We start from the raw sequence: 17030 nt of genomic DNA, 5'->3' as shown, positions 1-17030 counted from the left end.
GGGATTACAGGAGCCCGCCACCACGCCCGGCTAATTTTTTGTATTTTTAGTAGAGACAGGGTTTCACCATGTTGGTCAGGCTGGTCTTGAACTCCTGACCTCAAGAGATCCGCCCGCCTTGGCCTCCCAAAGTGCTGGGATTACAGGCGTGAGCCACCGAACCGGGCTGAGAAATAAAATCTGAGAATAAGTGTAATGTAACCCACTAGTGTCCTCTACATTTGAAAGTCAACTTTTCAATAATCCCTGAAGAACCACCTGAAAGGCATTGCTTCGCTAGGGCGATGATGCCCGATCGCCATTTTACTCATCCAATCCTACTGGTTTACCCAGGCCCCATAAGCCTCACCAGATCCCTCTTGCCTCTGCACATCTCCAATCTCCATAAAGACCTTTGATCGGATCTATCATTGTACCTATCATAGGTCTGATGCCCCTATCAAGACTTGGAGTTTTCCTAAACGCCCATGTCTTTCACATCACATCTCTCAACTCATAGCATTGCCGTACCCTGAGAAATAAATGAAGCTGGTACAAATTTTCTCTGAAAACTTGGAAGCCTGGCGCTGAACTCAACAACTTTAGCTTAGTCCGCAAAAATGGACTTAGCTAATACTGTGTTAGGCATAATGGTGCTGTTTTAACGGCTTTGACATCCAATTATTCTTTCACCAAGCCATTAACCAGAGCCAAGTTTGCCCTAGGCTGGGCAAAGGAATGCTGTGAAGTGAAACCTGGGCTGTAACCGCCTCCGAGGCCGGCTCACACCCAGGGACCCTCCCAAGCGGTTCCTGCGCCCCCTCGTGGCCTCCCTCCTGCAGTTCGCTGCACAAGCGCAGGGCCCGGAGCGGGGACGGGCGGGCCCTCCAGGCCCTCGACACACCCAATTGGCCAGGCCTCGTTGCGTGTGGGCGGGGCCGCGGCTGGAGCGGAGGAGCCCCCCAGAAGACCGCCTTCAGGGGGCGTGGCCTGGACTGTGGAGGGGGCGGACCGTGGGGAAGCTGCTTCCGGGTGAGCCCCCCCCGCTCTTACGCGGTCTGTGGGAGACCGGAGCGGGAGACAGCGGTGACAGGAGCAGCGGCCGGGAGCCCTTAGGGAGGCAGGTGAGCGGGGGCTGGATGCGGGGAGATAGCGGGCCTGGAGGGCGGCTCCAGGGCGAGGCGGGGACTGTGGCACCAAGAGTCCTGCGTCCCCAGATTGTGCTGTGCGCCTGAAGCCCTGGCGGTGCAGCCGTGCACGGAGTCCCGTGGAGCGTTTGTTTGGGCTGGATTATCCCGCTGCAGCCGAGGTTGGGGGCCCGGGTTCGGGGCTCCGCACCTCTTCTCTGGGGTTCACCCTCTCGGATACCGCCTGGGCAGACTCCATCGATGCAGAACCCGAGGTGCGGGTGGTGGTTGGTGGGGGGGTAGGGAGGTGAAAACAATAACAGCCGTTTTGTACTAAGCGTTGCGTGCATTGACCATTCATTTATTTTATTTATTTATTTATTTTTGAGACGGAGTTTCGCTCTTGTTGCCCAGGCTGGAGTGCAATGGCGCGATCTCAGCTCACTGCAACCTCCGCCTCCCGGGTTCAAGCGATTCTCCTGCCTCAGCCTGCCAACTAGCTGGGATTACAGGCGTGTGCCACCACGCCTGCTAATTTTTGTATTTTTAGTAGAGATGGGGTTTCTCCCTGTTGGTCAGGCTAGTCTCGAACTCCCGAGCTCAGGTGATTCGCCCACCTCGGCCTCCCAAAGTGCTGGGATTACAGGCGTGAGCCACCACGCCCGGCCTGACCCATTCATTTCTTACAACAACCCATTGAGGTCGGTTCTAGTCCCCATTTACTAAACGAAGAAACTGAGGTCACACAACTAGAAAGCTACAGAACTAGGATTTGTACCCACATCTATCAGACTCCAGAGCCCACATACTTAACCATCCTGCTACCAACAGCAGCCAGGCCCAGAGTCTGGCTCACCCAAAGCTCTCCACAAGCCCAACCTGCTGGGAAACAGATTTGATATCTATCCTTAAAGTATGGAGGTGTCATGGTGGGCACTGAGGACTGGGCTGCTGGAGACCTTCCCCCAGATCTGCCGCTGACCCACTGCGTGATCCTGGGCCTGTGTCTACCCCTCTCTGAGCCCAGTTTCACCCTTGTTTCAGTGATACAATCAGCAAACTTTAAGAAGACTCTTAGCCAAGATATTCTAGGATTCTGGGAATGGCAGCTTCTCCTACGTCTAAATGGCTAACCCCAGAGGCGATCAGGCTCTTCAAAGCCCCAGGGCAAGGCTGGGGTCTCATTCTTCTCTTTAATCCCTGTGTCTAGCACTTCAGCAGGCCCATAGTAGATATTCAAGAAATGTGGGTTGGCTGAATAAACACTTCATCTCTTTTCAGAACTGCATGACAGCTGCTCTCCTGGGCCTTTGTGGGGCTTTGGATTTCTCAGTTCTGGCCACCTTCTATCTAGCTGGCTCTCCTGACTGCCTCCTCCCTGGCCAGTGGCAGAGCCTGCCAGGGCTGGCAGCAGGTCCTAAGCCTCTGTGCGAAGACCCACAGCCTCTGGAATCCTCAGCATAGTACAACTTGCAGGGGTGGGGGGTGGCACATGAAGCTCATAGCCCCTCCTGGTAGCAGTGCTCAGGGCCCAACTTCAGTTACTCCCAGTTTGGGGATGTTGCCTTCCATGGGAGGAGATACTTTCATATTAAATCTGAAACACTTCTTATCCTTCACTGTCCCCTCTTCCATGAAACCACCCTTGACTCAGAGACACAGTCCCTCTGACAGCACCTGGTCCACCCCTCTACTCTGGCAGCCCGGTGGTGATTATTTTGTTTTTCCTCCACCACATAACCTGCTGGAAGGCAGGGACTCCACTTCAGAAATCTTGGAAAACCCTGTGGCCCACAAGGGTTTGAGCTCATATTCCCATCTGGTGAGGTGCAGAAGGCACAGAGCTGTGCCAGGACATCTCGTTCCAACCCAGCCCCACTCCTAATAGTAATAAAAGTAGCTACATGTTTACTGTGCAGCTACTTGGTGCCAGACACCTACCTTATCCCTATCAATAATCTCCACAGCCTTGCAAGTTAGAGATATCATGCCTATTTTGTAGATTATGAAATGAACACTGAAAGGTCAATTACTTTGCCCAAAATTACACAGCAGAGCATAGACCAAACCTGGGACTGTCTGACCCTGAAACATGGATCTTTCTGCACCGCCCTATACTCTGCGTCCCAGCAAAGCTAACCTGTCTGATGTGGTTGGGCAGAGGTGCTGGACCTCCTGGCGGCTCGCTCCTGTCTTCAGTGTGGTAATGTCACAGGCATTTAAATTGTGGTTTGCAAGCTCGCTTGATTTGGGAGAAGTGCCCTCCCAGTCTGTGAAATTCTCCCAAACTCTAAGGGCCTTTTTGCAAAGCAAAACCCACCCTGCATTTGGCTCTGCCAATATGTGATTCAGGGGGTGTTTTCCCACTCACAGAATGGAGTGGGAAACTCCACTTATTAAGTACCTCTTACAATGGAATGACTCTATGGTGTAGGTATCAGGGCACTGAAATAGAAGCCAGGAGCTGCAGGGTCAGTTTATAGCTCTGTATGTCACTCACTGTGATCTCCAAAAGTCCCGTTGCCTCTTTATACCCCATTTTCCACATTAAAGTGTAAGGGATTAAACAGGATTGGCAATTTTCAAGCTTTTAATATTTTCAGCACTGACAGCCGTTTCTCAAATCAAATCTGTCTCTGAATCTTAAAATTCAAAAACAGATCAAAGTGGACTGCTGTAGTGAGACTGTTCCCTTTACTCTAACCCTGCCCCGGTCTCAGGCTCCTAGGCAGTCCTGCCCCAGGGTTTCTGCTAAGCAGGAGCCAGTTGTTCCCTCAGCCTCCTAAAAGCGATGGGGAGTTGAGGCCAGTGGAATGCAGCTTTGGATTCAGAAGCCAGAAAACAACAGAGATTGTTTGTGGGAAGTGAGTCAGAGAGATTAGACCTCTCTTCAACATCTGACTAGACTCTAGAATGGCATTAAGCAAGTCACTGAACCGCTCAGAGCCTCTGTTTCCTTATCACTAAAAGTTAGGACAATTCTTGCAATGAAATGAGATACTACTACCAAGTACTTCAGTGCTGTGCCCAGCACAGAACGAATACACTCAGTATGTTTTTCTTTTGTTTCTTCTGTCTCTCCAGCACCCAAAGCAGAAACAGTATGGGCAGAGAGACGCCTACTGAATCAGGTGTTTATCAGTATTATGAAATACAGTATATAAAACCCAGCATTTGGAGTCCAGAACAAATTCAAATTCTGGCTCAGTCACTAAGTAGCTATGTGGTCTTGGGCAACTGGCTTACATTTTGGTAATTCTCTCAATATGCAAAAATATTCTCTCGGCCAGGTGCGGTGGCTCACGCCTGTAATCCCAGCACTTTGGGAGGCAGAGGCGGGCGGATCACTTGAAGTCAGGAGTTTGAGACCAGCCTGGCCAACATGGCGAAACCCTGTCTCTACTAAAAATACAAAAATTAGCCAAGCATGGTCATGCATGCCTGTAGTCCCATCTATTTGGGAGGCTGAGGCAGGAGAATCACTTGAACCCAGGAGGTGGAGGTTGCAGTGAGCCGAGATCGAACCACTGCACTCCAGCTTGGGTGACAGAGCCAGACTCTGTCTCAAAAAAAAAAAAAAAAAAAAAAGAAAAGGAAAAAAAACTCCTGGCAGACATGAGAGCAAAATCGAGTACGAAATGGGCAGCTGGGACCTCATATCTACTGAATAATTGTCTGTTTGGAGGTTGAGACATGACTGGGGAGGCCTGGCCTGCCCCTGTGTTAGGTGATGGGGCTGGCCCACCCAGGGGTGTGGCAGCAGGGCTGGCCCCTGTGTGACTTGTGATAACCCCACCCTACCAAGGAGGAAGACTGGATAAAATGGGCCCCTGAGATGGCTGAAGGCAGCTAAAGGGGCCTAAGAGACTATGGGGAGAAGGGCAGCCAGTTCCTAGGCAGCCCTGCCCCACTGTTTCTGATAAGCAGGAGGCAGTTGTTCCCTCAGCCTCCTGAAAGCAATGAGGAGTTGAGGCCACGGGAATGCAGCTTTGGATTCCAGAAGCCAAGGACCTGTTACAAAGGTGGTTTTCTGGGAAGCAAATTAGAGGGATTAGACCTGGCTTCGACATCTGACTTGACTCCAACCTACCAAAGGATCTCCCAGTTCACCTGGGAGTTAACACACCAGGGTTCTAGTCCTTTTGCTCGCTGTGTGGCTTTGGGTAAGTCCTTGCCCCTCTCTGGACCTTGAGGTCCCATTCATACAAAAAGCAGTTGGACTCAGGCCTGCCAGCCCCCATTTTTGTGGCTCTTCCCCGCCCCTCCCCATCCTTTGGCTATGGGATAGTCTCCCAGGCACCTCCAAAAGGAAGTGTCTAAAACAGAGCTCTCCACCTCCTCTCCAAGCCCAGCTCCCCACTGCCCTCTTCCTGCCCTGTCCCTGTCTCCGCTGCCCTTTAGATCAGGCAGGCAGGCAGGCCTAGAGCATCCGCCCTGAGACACTGCCTGTTGGCTGCCTTAAGACGCCCCTTCCTTCTCTGCCCGCAGCCTCCCCAGCCTCTGCATTCCTCTGCTTCCTGTCTGCTCTGCTCAGCCTGCAGGATTGATCTTCCCAAAGCCAGGTGTCAACCAGGCCACTAACCCTACCCACTGCTCAGAAATCTTCCCACAGCCTCAGCCTGGCCCCCTCTTATCCATCCCCTCCATACACACTTGCCTCAGCTCCTCAAAACAGTCCACAGCCATCCTCCTTCCCCACCTTTGCCCCTTTCTTCCCTTCCTAAGGAAATATTGGCCCCCTTCTCTCCACCAGGCTGAACCCACTCATCCTGCAAAACCAAGTTCAACGCCCTGTCATTTTCTTTTTTTTTTTTTTTTTTGAGATGGAGTCTCACACTGTCGCCCAGGCTAGAGTGCAATGGGTGCACTCTCGGCTCACTGCAACCTCTGCCTCCTAGGTTCAATCGATTCTTCTGCCTCAGCCTCCAGAGGAACTCTGACTACAGGTGCACACCACCACACCCAGCTAATTTTTGTATTTTTATTTTTATTTCTATTTATTTATTTATTGTGAGATGGAGTTTCTCTCTTGTTGCCCATGCTGGAGTGCAATGGCACGATCTCGGCTCATTGCAACCTCCGCCTCCCAAGTTCAAAGGATTCTCCTATCTCAGCTTCTGAAGTAGCTGGGATTACAGGCATGTGCCACCACACCCGGCTAATTTTTTTTTATTTTTAGTAGAGATGGGGTTTCACCATGTTGGTCAGGCTGGTCTCAAACTCCTGACCTCAAGTGATCCACCCACCTCGGCCTCCCAAAGTGCTGGGATTACAGGCGTGAGCCACCGTGCCTGGCCTAATTTTTGTATTTTTAGTAGAGACGGAGTTTCACCACATTGGCCAGCCTGGTCTCAAACTCCAGACCTCAAGTGATCCACCCGCCTCAGCCTCCCAAAGTGCTGGGGTTACAGGTGTGAGCCACTACGCCTGGCGCCTGTCTTCTTCTAATATGCCTCTTCTGACCTCCTCACTCCCATTGGAGCCATGGCTCACTTCTGGTCAGGCTCCATGCACTCAATCAGCCCTGCCTGCCAGGACTGTAGTGCCCACTTGATGAGAAATCACCTGTGAAAATGCCAGGCATGGTCTGGCACACAGTAGGTGCTCAAGAAACAAATGTTAATGCCCCAGCTTCCTTCTGTCTTGTGTCCACTAATTTGGCATTTGGAGCATATTTTTGTACTTCACGTAATTAAATATTTACTGTGTGCCAAGGTCAGTGTGTGACAGAGCACTGTAGGGGAGGCAAAAATGAACCAACTCTGGACCTTGCCCTGCAGAAGCTCTGTCTACTGGCATGAGGTAAGACAGGTCCACAGATAACTTACATAAGAGAGACTGCAATCTGGACAAGACAGCCTCAGTGGGAGAGGGAAGGAGAACCCTGTAGATTTGGGTGCGGGGAGGCTGTGGGGAGAGCACAGCCTTTCAGGTAAAGGGACAAGGTTAGGAAAGCAAGAAGGTGTAGCTTGTGCTCGTGGAGCCCAGGAAACTCCTTGGGCTAGAAAAGATTTGGTGGCACTCTATACAGTGTATGTGTCTGTCTGTCTATCTAACATGAATGGTACTATTTTCTCCTATTGGTGTGCATTGTACCTAACAAAAAATCCATGTCCCAAGTACTTTTCTCTTTTCTTTCTTTCTTTTTTTTTTTGGAATGAAGTCTTGCTCTGTCGCCCAGGCTGGAGTGAAGTGGCGCTATCTCGGCTTACTGCAACCTCCTCCTCCTGGATTCAAGCAGTTCTCCTGCCTCAGCCTCCCCAGTAGCTGGGATTACAGGCACGCACCACCACGCCCAGCTAATTTTTTTTGTATTTTTAGTAGAGGTGGGGTTTAACTGTGTTGGCCAGGCTGGTCTCGAACTCCTGACCTCAAGTGATCTGCCCATCTCAGCCTCCCAAAGTGCTGAGATTATAGGTGTGAGCCGCCATGCCCGGCCAACAGTACTTTTCTCTAGAGGTAGAATTGCAGGGGATTTTTCTCTTTTTGCTTATCTGCACTTTTCTAAAAGTTCTGCCATGAACACGGGCATTTTTTGTGGAATAAACAAAGTTTAAATGTTGGCTAGATCAGTGCTTCTTTATGCATAAGGAAGGATTAGTTCTTTTTTTTCTATTTCCAATTTATTGATTCTTTGATAAAATGCAATGCAATAAAATTATTATTTTTTTTTAGAGACGTCTCCCTCTCTCACCCAGGCTGGAGTGCAGTGGTGCAATCATAGCTTACTGCAACCTTGAACTCCTGGGCTCAAGCGATCCTCTTGCTTTAGCCTCCTGAGTAGCTGGGACTACAGGTGTGGACCACCACACCTGGCTGATTTTTAAACTTTTTGTAGATACAGGGTCTCGCCATGTTGCCCAGGCTGGTCTCGAACTCTTGGGCTCAAGCCATCCTGCCACCTCAGCCTCCCAAAGTGCCGGGATTACAGGCGTGAGCCACCATGCCCAGCTAGAAAATTACTTTTTTGGCTAGGCACCGTGGCTCACGCCTGTAATCCCGGCACTTTGGGAGGCTGAGGCAGGCAGATTGCTTGAGCCCAGGAGTTCGAGACCATCCTGGGAAGCATGGCAAGACCTCCATCTCTACAAAAAATTCGAAAATTAGCTGGATGTTGTGGTGCACACCTGCAGTCCCAGCTACTTGGGAGGCTGAGTTGGGAGAAACAGTTGAGCCCGGGAGGTCAAGGCTGCAGTGAGTCGAGATTGCACCACTGCACTCCAGCCTGGGCGACAGAGACCCTGTGTGAAAAAAAAAAAAAGAAGAGAATTTTTTTTAAACAGTCATTGCTTGCTCAGATGTTTACTTTAAAAGATAATAATGAACAAGAAGCAGTCACATAAAATACAAGCCCAAATTTTATATCATTAGATTCTGATTGTCATGAAAGTTTCTAAAGACTTACTTTCATTTCTCAACTTACCTTGTTGACCAGCAGGGATTGGTGAACCATGCTGTGAGTAGCATTGGGCTAGAGAGAGGGGAGGCAGGAATCTAGAAGAGCTGTTTTCCAGATGTGACCATCTCCTGAGGACAGGGACCATGTCTCATGTGCCACCCATCACCCCCCACAGACAGAGCCTGCAGCCAATGCCCCAGGAGCCCTCGGTTCCAACCAACTGATGCCCCTGTGCCCACTGGCCCACGCCATGCAGCCCCAGTCCGTTCTGCACAGCGGCTACTTCCACCCACTACTTCGGGCCTGGCAGACAGCCACCACCACCCTCAATGCCTCCAACCTCATCTACCCCATCTTTGTCACGTGAGTCTCCAAGAATGGGCCAGGCCTCTGCTCTGCTGGTTGGGGTTGGGGTTGGGGAGGGAGTGTTGACTGGAGCGGGCATCAGTATGGCTGGGGGTGGCAAAGTGAGCTGTCAGCTTGAAATTCAAGGCACTGGAAGCAGGCTACTTGGATTAAGGACAGGAATCTTAGGAACAAAACAAACTTTGAAAGAACTCATTCATCCCATTTGGAAAATTAGAAGAATAACCCTTGCCTGCCATCCTGAGCTCTTGCAGTAAGACAGAAGCTGAGAAGGTGCTCTGTACATTGTAAAGTGCTATGTACCTGTAAGAGATGGCAGTCATTGAGGCTGGGCACGGTGGCTCACGCCTGTAATCCCAGCACTTTGGGAGGCTGAGGCAGGCGGATCACGAGGTCAGGAGATCGAGACCATCCTGGCTAATATGGTGAAACCCTGTCTCTACTAAAAACACAAAGAAATTAGCCAGGCGTGGTGGCGGGTGCCTGTAGTCCCAGCTACTTGGGAGGCTGAGGCAGGAGAATGGCGTGAACCCGGGAGGCGGAGCTTGCAGTGAGCCGAGATTGCACCACTTCACTCCAGCCTGGGCGACGGAGCCAGACTCCATCTCAAAAAAAAAAAAAAAAAAAAGAGATGGCAATCGTGATTGTTAATAATAATGCAGACATTTACTGAGTACTTACTATCTACCAGGTACTATGCTAAGCACCTACACACATTATCTCATTCAATTCTGAGAGCATTTGTATGAAGAAGGAGTAGCTATCCTCTAGAACATCAGCTCCATGAGGGCAGGGATGTTTGTCTATTTTGTTCACTGTTGTATCATCAGGGCCTAGAACAGTACTTGGCACATAATAAGTACTCAATAAATATTTGTTGAATGAATGAATTAACCACGCATGATATAGATGAAGGCCTAAGGCTCAAAGAGATGATAGAACTTGGCCACGGTCACCCAGGCAGTAAGTGGCTGGGATAGAAAGCAAGGACCTGCCAAATTCAGAGTCCAAGTTCTTAACCACTTAATTCCTTCCTGTAATTACCGTTCTTTTAGTACAGTTGCTAGTGTTGTCACTGTTATTCTTGTTGTTCCTATTATTATTTCAGGCCCTGGGCTTGGCCAGGCAGGGAAGCCAGACACTGGATCCCATCCTCCTCCCACCATCTCCACTTCCATATTTCTTTCCTGCTTCCCAACCATCCCTCTCAGTCGCCCCCGCACCACTGGCCCTTCCCACAGCTACCAATCCATATCCCACCCCCGCTCTTGCAGGGATGTTCCTGATGACATACAGCCTATCACCAGCCTCCCAGGAGTGGCCAGGTAGGAGACGTGGAGTTGGGGGGCCAGCGGGTGGTGGAGGGAGAGATTCCACAGGTGGAAGTGCTGGGAGGCAGAAGCAGACCTAGGAAGTAGAAGATGCGGACAGACAGACATTAGCTCAGTAGAGGAAAGGGTTTCCCCGGGGCCAGAGCTGTTCCACAGTGGAAGGGGCAGCCCCATAAAGTAAAGAGCTACCCATCACCCGAGACGTCGTGGCAGAGGCTGTTGCAGAAGGGAGCTGAACTGCAGATGGGAGTTCAAAAAGAGGGCCTCGAAGGAGCCTTCCACAGCCGAATTCCGGAGCTCTGCTACTCAGGGCCTCAGTCTTCCCTCCTATTTAGTGGATGCATCCCTGCCCCTTCTGTCCTGGGGGCTTGAGCCCTCCTGGTGCCATATGCAGCTTGGTTTCTAACAGAGGCACACAGTGTGGTGGGGTCCGGAGGACCGTTGCCTGGGACCTGCCTTCCTTCAACCCCTCTACCCACACCCACACAGGTATGGTGTGAAGCGGCTGGAAGAGATGCTGAGGCCCTTGGTGGAAGAGGGCCTACGCTGTGTCTTGATCTTTGGCGTCCCCAGCAGAGTTCCCAAGGTGAAGAATCAAAGGAAGGGCTAAGAAGGGAGGTTGCGCTCACGCCCGTAATCCCAGCACTTTGGGAGGCCAAAGTGGGTGGATCACTTGAGCCCAGGATTTTGAGACCAGCCTGGACAACATGGCAAAACCCATCTCTACAAAAAATACAAAAGTTAGCTGGGTGTGGGGGTATGTGCCTGTAGTCCCAGCTACTCGGGAGGTGGAGAGGTGGGAGGATTGCTTGAGCCCAGAAAGTCGAGGCTGCAGTGAGCCAAAATCGCGCCAGTGCACTCTAGCCTGGGTGACAGAGCAAGACCCTGTCTCCAATACAAACAGAAAAAGGAAGGGAGGTTGGGCAAAGGTGGACTGAGGGTCCACACTGACTGCACCCTCACTCCCACATTGTGCTGGCCCTGGGGCCACAGGTGAATGGACGTGGTCTTTGCCCTTAAGTCAGCACCCATGTAGGGTCAGTCCTCTGTGCTTCCTTATCCAGGGGCTGTGATGATGAAGGAAGGAGAAGGCCAGGGCTATGCTCTGTGATGGCTGTCATCCTGCCTTCCAAAGCTACATGTAATAGACACACTGCTTTGTCCCTCCCCTGCCCCTAGGACGAGCGGGGTTCCGCAGCTGACTCCGAGGAGTCCCCAGCTATTGAGGCAATCCATCTGTTGAGGAAGACCTTCCCCAACCTCCTGGTGGCCTGTGATGTCTGCCTGTGTCCCTACACCTCCCATGGTCACTGCGGTGAGTTCCCTCCCTCCCACCAGCCCTGCTGCCACCCACACTCCTACTGCCCACTTCTCAACAGGGTGGGGACAGGCCAGGGCCCAAGGTGCTCCCCAAAACCCAGTCATCTGTCCTGAAGGGCTCCTGAGTGAAAACGGAGCATTCCGGGCTGAGGAGAGCCGCCAGCGGCTGGCTGAGGTGGCATTGGCGTATGCCAAGGCAGGTGAGTGAACCACCAGCAGGGATGGGCACCTCTGGGTCAGGAGGTGGCAGAGTGGCTAGGAGGGCCCCAGAGTTCTGAAGGCCACCCTCTGCCCCCCAGGATGTCAGGTGGTAGCCCCGTCGGACATGATGGATGGACGCGTGGAAGCCATCAAAGAGGCCCTGATGGCACATGGACTTGGCAACAGGGTAAGGGCAGGGAATGCAGCACAGGGCTGGCAGGAGATAGTCTGCACCAGCCCTGCCCCCGTGTCTGCTAAGAATCACAGAACTGCCGGGCGTGTTGGCTCACACCTGTAGTCCCAGCACTTTGGGAGGCTGAGGCAGGTAGATCACTTGAGGTCAGGGGTTCAAGACCAGCCTGGCCAACATGGTGAAACCCCATCTCTACTAAAAACACAAAAATTAGCTGGGCGTGGTGGCAGGCGCCTGTAATCCCAGCTACTGGGGAGGCTGAGGCAGGAGAATCGCTTGAACCCACGAGGCAGTGAGCTGAGATCATGCCACTGCACTTCAGCCTGGATGACAGAGCTAGACTCCATCTCAAAAAAAAAAAGAATCACAGAACTGAAGACAGTGCTGGATGAGGCTTTGGGGAACCATTTAAACCTCTGGGCCTCTGCAGGGAAATCAAGCCCAGCACTCCAACAGGACCAGAACACAGGCAGTCTCCTTCCCAGCCTAGGTTCTTTCTCTCCCTGCCACATCACCCTGGGATACCTGGCAAGGGCCGAATAAGCCAAGACCTCCATTGTCTCCCCATAGGTATCGGTGATGAGCTACAGTGCCAAATTTGCTTCCTGTTTCTATGGCCCTTTCCGGTGAGCAGGGGTGGGCAGGGGTCTGCTGTGAATCCCTGGCCCTTTGGCCCAAAGCTGGAGCCCACCCTGATGACTCTGCTTTGCAGGGATGCAGCTAAGTCAAGCCCAGCTTTTGGGGACCGCCGCTGCTACCAGCTGCCCCCTGGAGCACGAGGCCTGGCTCTCCGAGCTGTGGTGAGTGACTAGGACTTGAGCCCCACCCTCAGCCCCCTCCTAGGCACCACCCACATTATACCCTCATCCCTTAGGACCGGGATGTACGGGAAGGAGCTGACATGCTCATGGTGAAGCCGGGAATGCCCTACCTGGACATCGTGCGGGAGGTAAAGGACAAGGTGAGCACAGGTACGAGGCAAAGGGGGCTCAGGGGGCTGGGACAGAGTTTTCCACAGACTCTGGAATCTCAGAGTTGGAAGCAGTTTGCCCTTAAGCATGCATCCTCTCCTCCCCTTCCCTGCCCAGGAACCATCGTGGCCTTCTATGTCGGGGCTTGCACGAGCCTCAAACAGCCCTGCTTTAACAGTTCAAGAGTGGGCCAGGCTGCCAGCCGCAGTAACCCAGGACACGGGGCTCAAGATGGTCACAGATTGAGCAGGGGGGAAGGGACGCTTCCAGAGCCACATCCACCCTCCATTTCAGCCTGTCTCCCTGTCTGCTTCCCTGCAGCACCCTGACCTCCCTCTCGCCGTGTACCACGTCTCTGGAGAGTTTGCCATGCTGTGGCATGGAGCCCAGGCCGGGGCATTTGATCTCAAGGCTGCCGTACTGGAGGCCATGACTGCCTTCCGCAGAGCAGGTAGGCAGGCAAGGGTGGGGTGTTTTGACCTGCGCCACAGGGACTGATAAGCACTCTGCCTAGATTGGGGAACGACGTCCTGAGAGCTTGGGATCTTATTCCGGGAATTACTAGTGATCTAAACAGACACACACTGAGGAAGAGATATGGAACTGCAGCATAGAACACGGCCCGGTGAAGCAAGCAGAGCCCTTCATTTTTGGTTGTGAGAACGTGGGCAAGCCACTTCTCTGAACCTCAGTGTCCTCACCCATAACTGGATAACTGGGGATAAGATACCTGGTGCGTGGTTGTCCTGAGGATTAAATGAAGTAATATCACTCCATAAAGGGGACTCATTTTGTTAGAATTGCACACCAGCATGGGAAGGAACTTGCCTCTTACCTATTTCCTTCACTGTGCATTTTATTCTTTGGTAAACTGAGGCCCCAAAAGAGGAAATGACTTGCCCAAGAAATAGAGTTTCCCAAAGCTGGGCTCCGTCTCATGTGGTGTGCCCACAGGCTGTGCTTCTTCATGGTAGCCTTCTTCCCCGCCTGGCCTTCCCATCGCAGAAGGTGTGCTCAGAGCTGATCAGCGTCCCCCCAGCAACTTTCTGCATCTCTCCCAACACAGGTGCTGACATCATCATCACCTACTACACACCGCAGCTGCTGCAGTGGCTGAAGGAGGAATGATGGAGACAGTGCCAGGCCCAAGAACTAGAACTTTAAAACGTTCCCGGGGCCTCAGACAAGTGAAAACCAAAGTAAATGCTGCTTTTAGAACTGTGCCCTCATGCCCTCTTCCTGCTCACATGCTAGCGGGGCCCAGCAGCCCTGGGTGGTTTTGCCAGCATGCTAACTCTTGTAACTCGCAGCTGCATCCTATGAGCTCTCCCAAGCTTCCCCGCCCCTCCCCTGGGTCAGCCGTGAGGCCCACCTTTGCCACCCTCAGCTCTTTCCTCTGGTGTGGCTTCAGCTTGAAAGCAACCTGGAGTCGGGGGCACAGCCTTTGGGGCCTGGCTGGGAGAGGGTCTTGGAGCATTAGGGGAAGAAGAGAGCAGTGGGATCTTGGGGCCTGAGAAGCCTTGGAACGCTTCTGGCAGCAGAGCTGGGTGTGGGAATGAGGCCTAGATCGATATCCCTGGGTTAGAGTTGAAATTTGCCGCAATTCCACTGGAAGGCATTTCCCACGAGGCCAGAGGTTGCCAGGCTGCCTGAGGTCTCCTATTCTACTCTGAACCATAAACCCAGAGAAGAATTACTCATTAACCAGCATAAATACTGCCTGAGGATCAAAACTCAGAGGCAAAGAGGGAGTTCCTGACTGCTAGAGGTGCCACCACCACAAACACTTTTTATTCAGGAGATACTTTTTGAGAATCTCTGCTCTGTTCCTAGGTTCAGTGCTGGGTCCTGGGAATACAGCAGGACAGACCTCAGCTTATCTCTTCATAGAAATTATACAAAGAGAATTGGGGAGACAGCTAAGAAGAAAACAAAGAAATAAAGCAGTTACAAATTGTGATAAGTGCTTTGAAGGAAAGAAGGGGTCTGAGACAACAACAGGGAAGGGGCCTCTCTTGAAACAGTAGTTGGGAAGGAGGCAGACATGCACCAGTGATGTGGTGACAGGTGCTCTGAAGGAGGTCACCAGGACCTGACCTCTTTGAAGGATCAGAAAATACTTCCCTGAAGGACTGACATTTGAGCCTAGACCTGAAGGGTGAGCCATCAAGCTAAGACAATTGGGGAAGAGCATTCCAGGGAGAGGGAGGAGTTGTGCAAAGGCCCTGGGGCTCCTTCTAGCTGGAGGAATGCAAGGCTAGCTTGTCTGGAGCACTGAGAGGATGGCCTGAACTGAGTGGAGAGAGACAGACCAGGACCAAACCATGCAGAGGTCAAGGGCCACATTCACCTTTTCAGAGTGACTCAATCAAATTTGTAGTTTGTAAAAGTATTTTAACAGCTCTGCGGCAAAGTGCAAATGAAAAGTCTTGATGGCATGGACTGGAGCGGGGACAGTGGGGATGGAGAAAGGGGAATGGATTGTGGATGTGTTTAGAAGGTAGATTCGATGTGAAGGATGAATCTGGCTTGACCTTCTGGGTGGCTGATGGGCCATTTACTGAGATGGGGCAGCCTGGAAGAGGAACAGAAGCAGGGTCGGGGTGGAGGGAGAATACTAAACTTAGCTTGAGACATTTTGCAATAAGGAAGCTATATCTAGAGTGCTTATGTGACTCACCTAAGGCCACTCAACAAGTTTGTGGCAGAACTGGATTAGAACTGCACAGAAAACAGCCAAGCTGGGATTTGAACCCATGTAGTCCAACTCCAAGGCCTCTGCCCCTAACCACTGTGCCATACCACCTCCCAATAATCAACAGCAAAATTATAGGTCTAACAATGTTTTATAGACACCCCTCCATTTATGTGATGGGTTTGCATCCTGATAAACCCATCATAAGTTGAAAATATGATCATAAGTTGAAAATATGATCATAAGTCAAAAATGTATTTAATATACCTAACCTACCAAACATCATAGCTTAGCCTAGCCTGCCTTAAACATGCTCAGAACACTTACATTAGCCTACAGTGGGCAAAACTATCCAACACAAAATCTATATTGTAATAAAGTTGTAAAGAATTTTGAATAAAAATTCAATATTTGAAGTACAGTTTCTACTGAATGTCTTGTTTCATACTGTTGTAAAGTCAAAAATTGTGAATTGAATGATCACAGTTCGGGGACCATCTGCAATTAGCCCCAGTTATACGGGGAGACCAAGGAGACCAGGCACCTACTTGGTTGCAAGTGATGGAAATCCAGTTCAATAGCAAAGAAGGACATGATTGGTTTTCATAACTGGATTGAGATAAGGACAGGTGTGGTTGGGCCCAGGGTCAAACCCCATGGAGGTCTCTGTCCCTTTCTAACTCTCGTCTGTGTTTGCCCCAGCTTTATACTCAGGTGGGTTTTTGCCACTTGCCAGCAACATGATCCTCAATAATTCTAGGCTTAAATAGTCGTTAAGATTTGTAATCCCAGAGAAAGAGCCTTCCTGTCCCATCACTCACATAGCAAATCTCTGGAGGTCTCTGATTGGGCCTGTTCAGGCCACATGGTCCACTCTTGGCTCAGTCACTGTAAACAATGGGATGGGAGATGGCGCCACAATTGACCAGGTAGGCCTCATTACACAGAACGCTGTCTTGGACTGAGCTTTTGCACCAGTGGCCTCCTTGGCTTGGAATGCTTTTCCCCTAAATCTATATGGCTGTCTCTCTTGTTAAGATCTCAGCTCAAAGCATCCCTTCCTCTGAGAAACCTGACCCAACACCCAATCTAAAGTCACTCTTGGAGCTGGGCGTGGTGGCTCACACCTGTAATCCCAGCACTTTGGGAGACCAAGGCAGGCGGATCACTTGAGGTCAGGAGTTCAAGACCAGCCTGGCCAACGTGGCAAAACCCCATCTAGACTAAAACTACAAAAAATTAGCCGGGCATGGTGGCAGGCGCCTGTAGTCCCACCTGCTTGGGAGGCTGAGGCAGAGGAATCACTAGAACACAGGACGCAGAGGTTGCAGTGAGCCGAGATCATGCCACTGCACCCCATCCTGGGCAACAGAGAGTCAGACTCTGTCTCAAAAAAAAAAAAAAAAAAAAGTCATTCTCCAGTCACTCTGTATTAATCAGGATTCAGG

The 17030-nt window shown here is 51.3% G+C and overlaps 1 protein-coding gene across 8 annotated transcripts, besides 3 other annotated features; it reads left to right on the top strand.

Annotated features, from left to right (window-relative positions):
- Nucleotides 720-1079: a silencer, noted in NCBI's record as "silent region_20204". NCBI's record gives its function as "represses an Ori minimal core promoter by ATAC-STARR-seq in GM12878 lymphoblastoid cells {active_cell/tissue: GM12878}" and the evidence as "EXISTENCE:reporter gene assay evidence [ECO:0000049][PMID:35858748]".
- On the top strand, nucleotides 1031-16003 carry ALAD (aminolevulinate dehydratase). 8 transcript variants are annotated; one of them, XM_047422944.1, is made up of 14 exons: nucleotides 1031-1103; nucleotides 5041-5269; nucleotides 5860-6908; nucleotides 8681-8868; nucleotides 10146-10196; nucleotides 10692-10788; nucleotides 11382-11517; nucleotides 11639-11722; nucleotides 11822-11910; nucleotides 12487-12542; nucleotides 12629-12716; nucleotides 12791-12877; nucleotides 13209-13338; nucleotides 13954-16003. In XM_047422944.1, exons 3-14 carry the CDS (start codon nucleotides 6858-6860, stop codon nucleotides 14013-14015), a joined length of 1119 nt encoding a protein of 372 aa, XP_047278900.1. In that variant the 5' UTR covers nucleotides 1031-1103; nucleotides 5041-5269; nucleotides 5860-6857; the 3' UTR covers nucleotides 14016-16003. The 8 variants fall into 8 exon arrangements, with proteins under 8 accessions (XP_047278900.1, XP_047278901.1, XP_011516666.1 ...); XM_047422945.1 differs by having other exon boundaries at nucleotides 1031-4237; XM_011518364.3 differs by lacking the exon at nucleotides 5860-6908.
- Nucleotides 1230-1279: a silencer, noted in NCBI's record as "silent region_20203". NCBI's record gives its function as "represses an Ori minimal core promoter by ATAC-STARR-seq in GM12878 lymphoblastoid cells {active_cell/tissue: GM12878}" and the evidence as "EXISTENCE:reporter gene assay evidence [ECO:0000049][PMID:35858748]".
- Nucleotides 1295-1875: an enhancer, noted in NCBI's record as "H3K27ac-H3K4me1 hESC enhancer chr9:116162720-116163300 (GRCh37/hg19 assembly coordinates)". NCBI's record gives its function as "activates a minimal SCP1, AML or CMV promoter by ChIP-STARR-seq in naive H9 embryonic stem cells {active_cell/tissue: H9 hESC(naive)}" and the evidence as "EXISTENCE:reporter gene assay evidence [ECO:0000049][PMID:30033119]".

This window comes from Homo sapiens, chromosome 9 (assembly GCF_000001405.40).
Source record: "Homo sapiens chromosome 9, GRCh38.p14 Primary Assembly".
NCBI lineage: Eukaryota > Metazoa > Chordata > Mammalia > Primates > Hominidae > Homo > Homo sapiens.
Note: the sequence above shows the minus strand (reverse complement) of the source record. Positions and strands in the feature narration are given on the sequence as shown.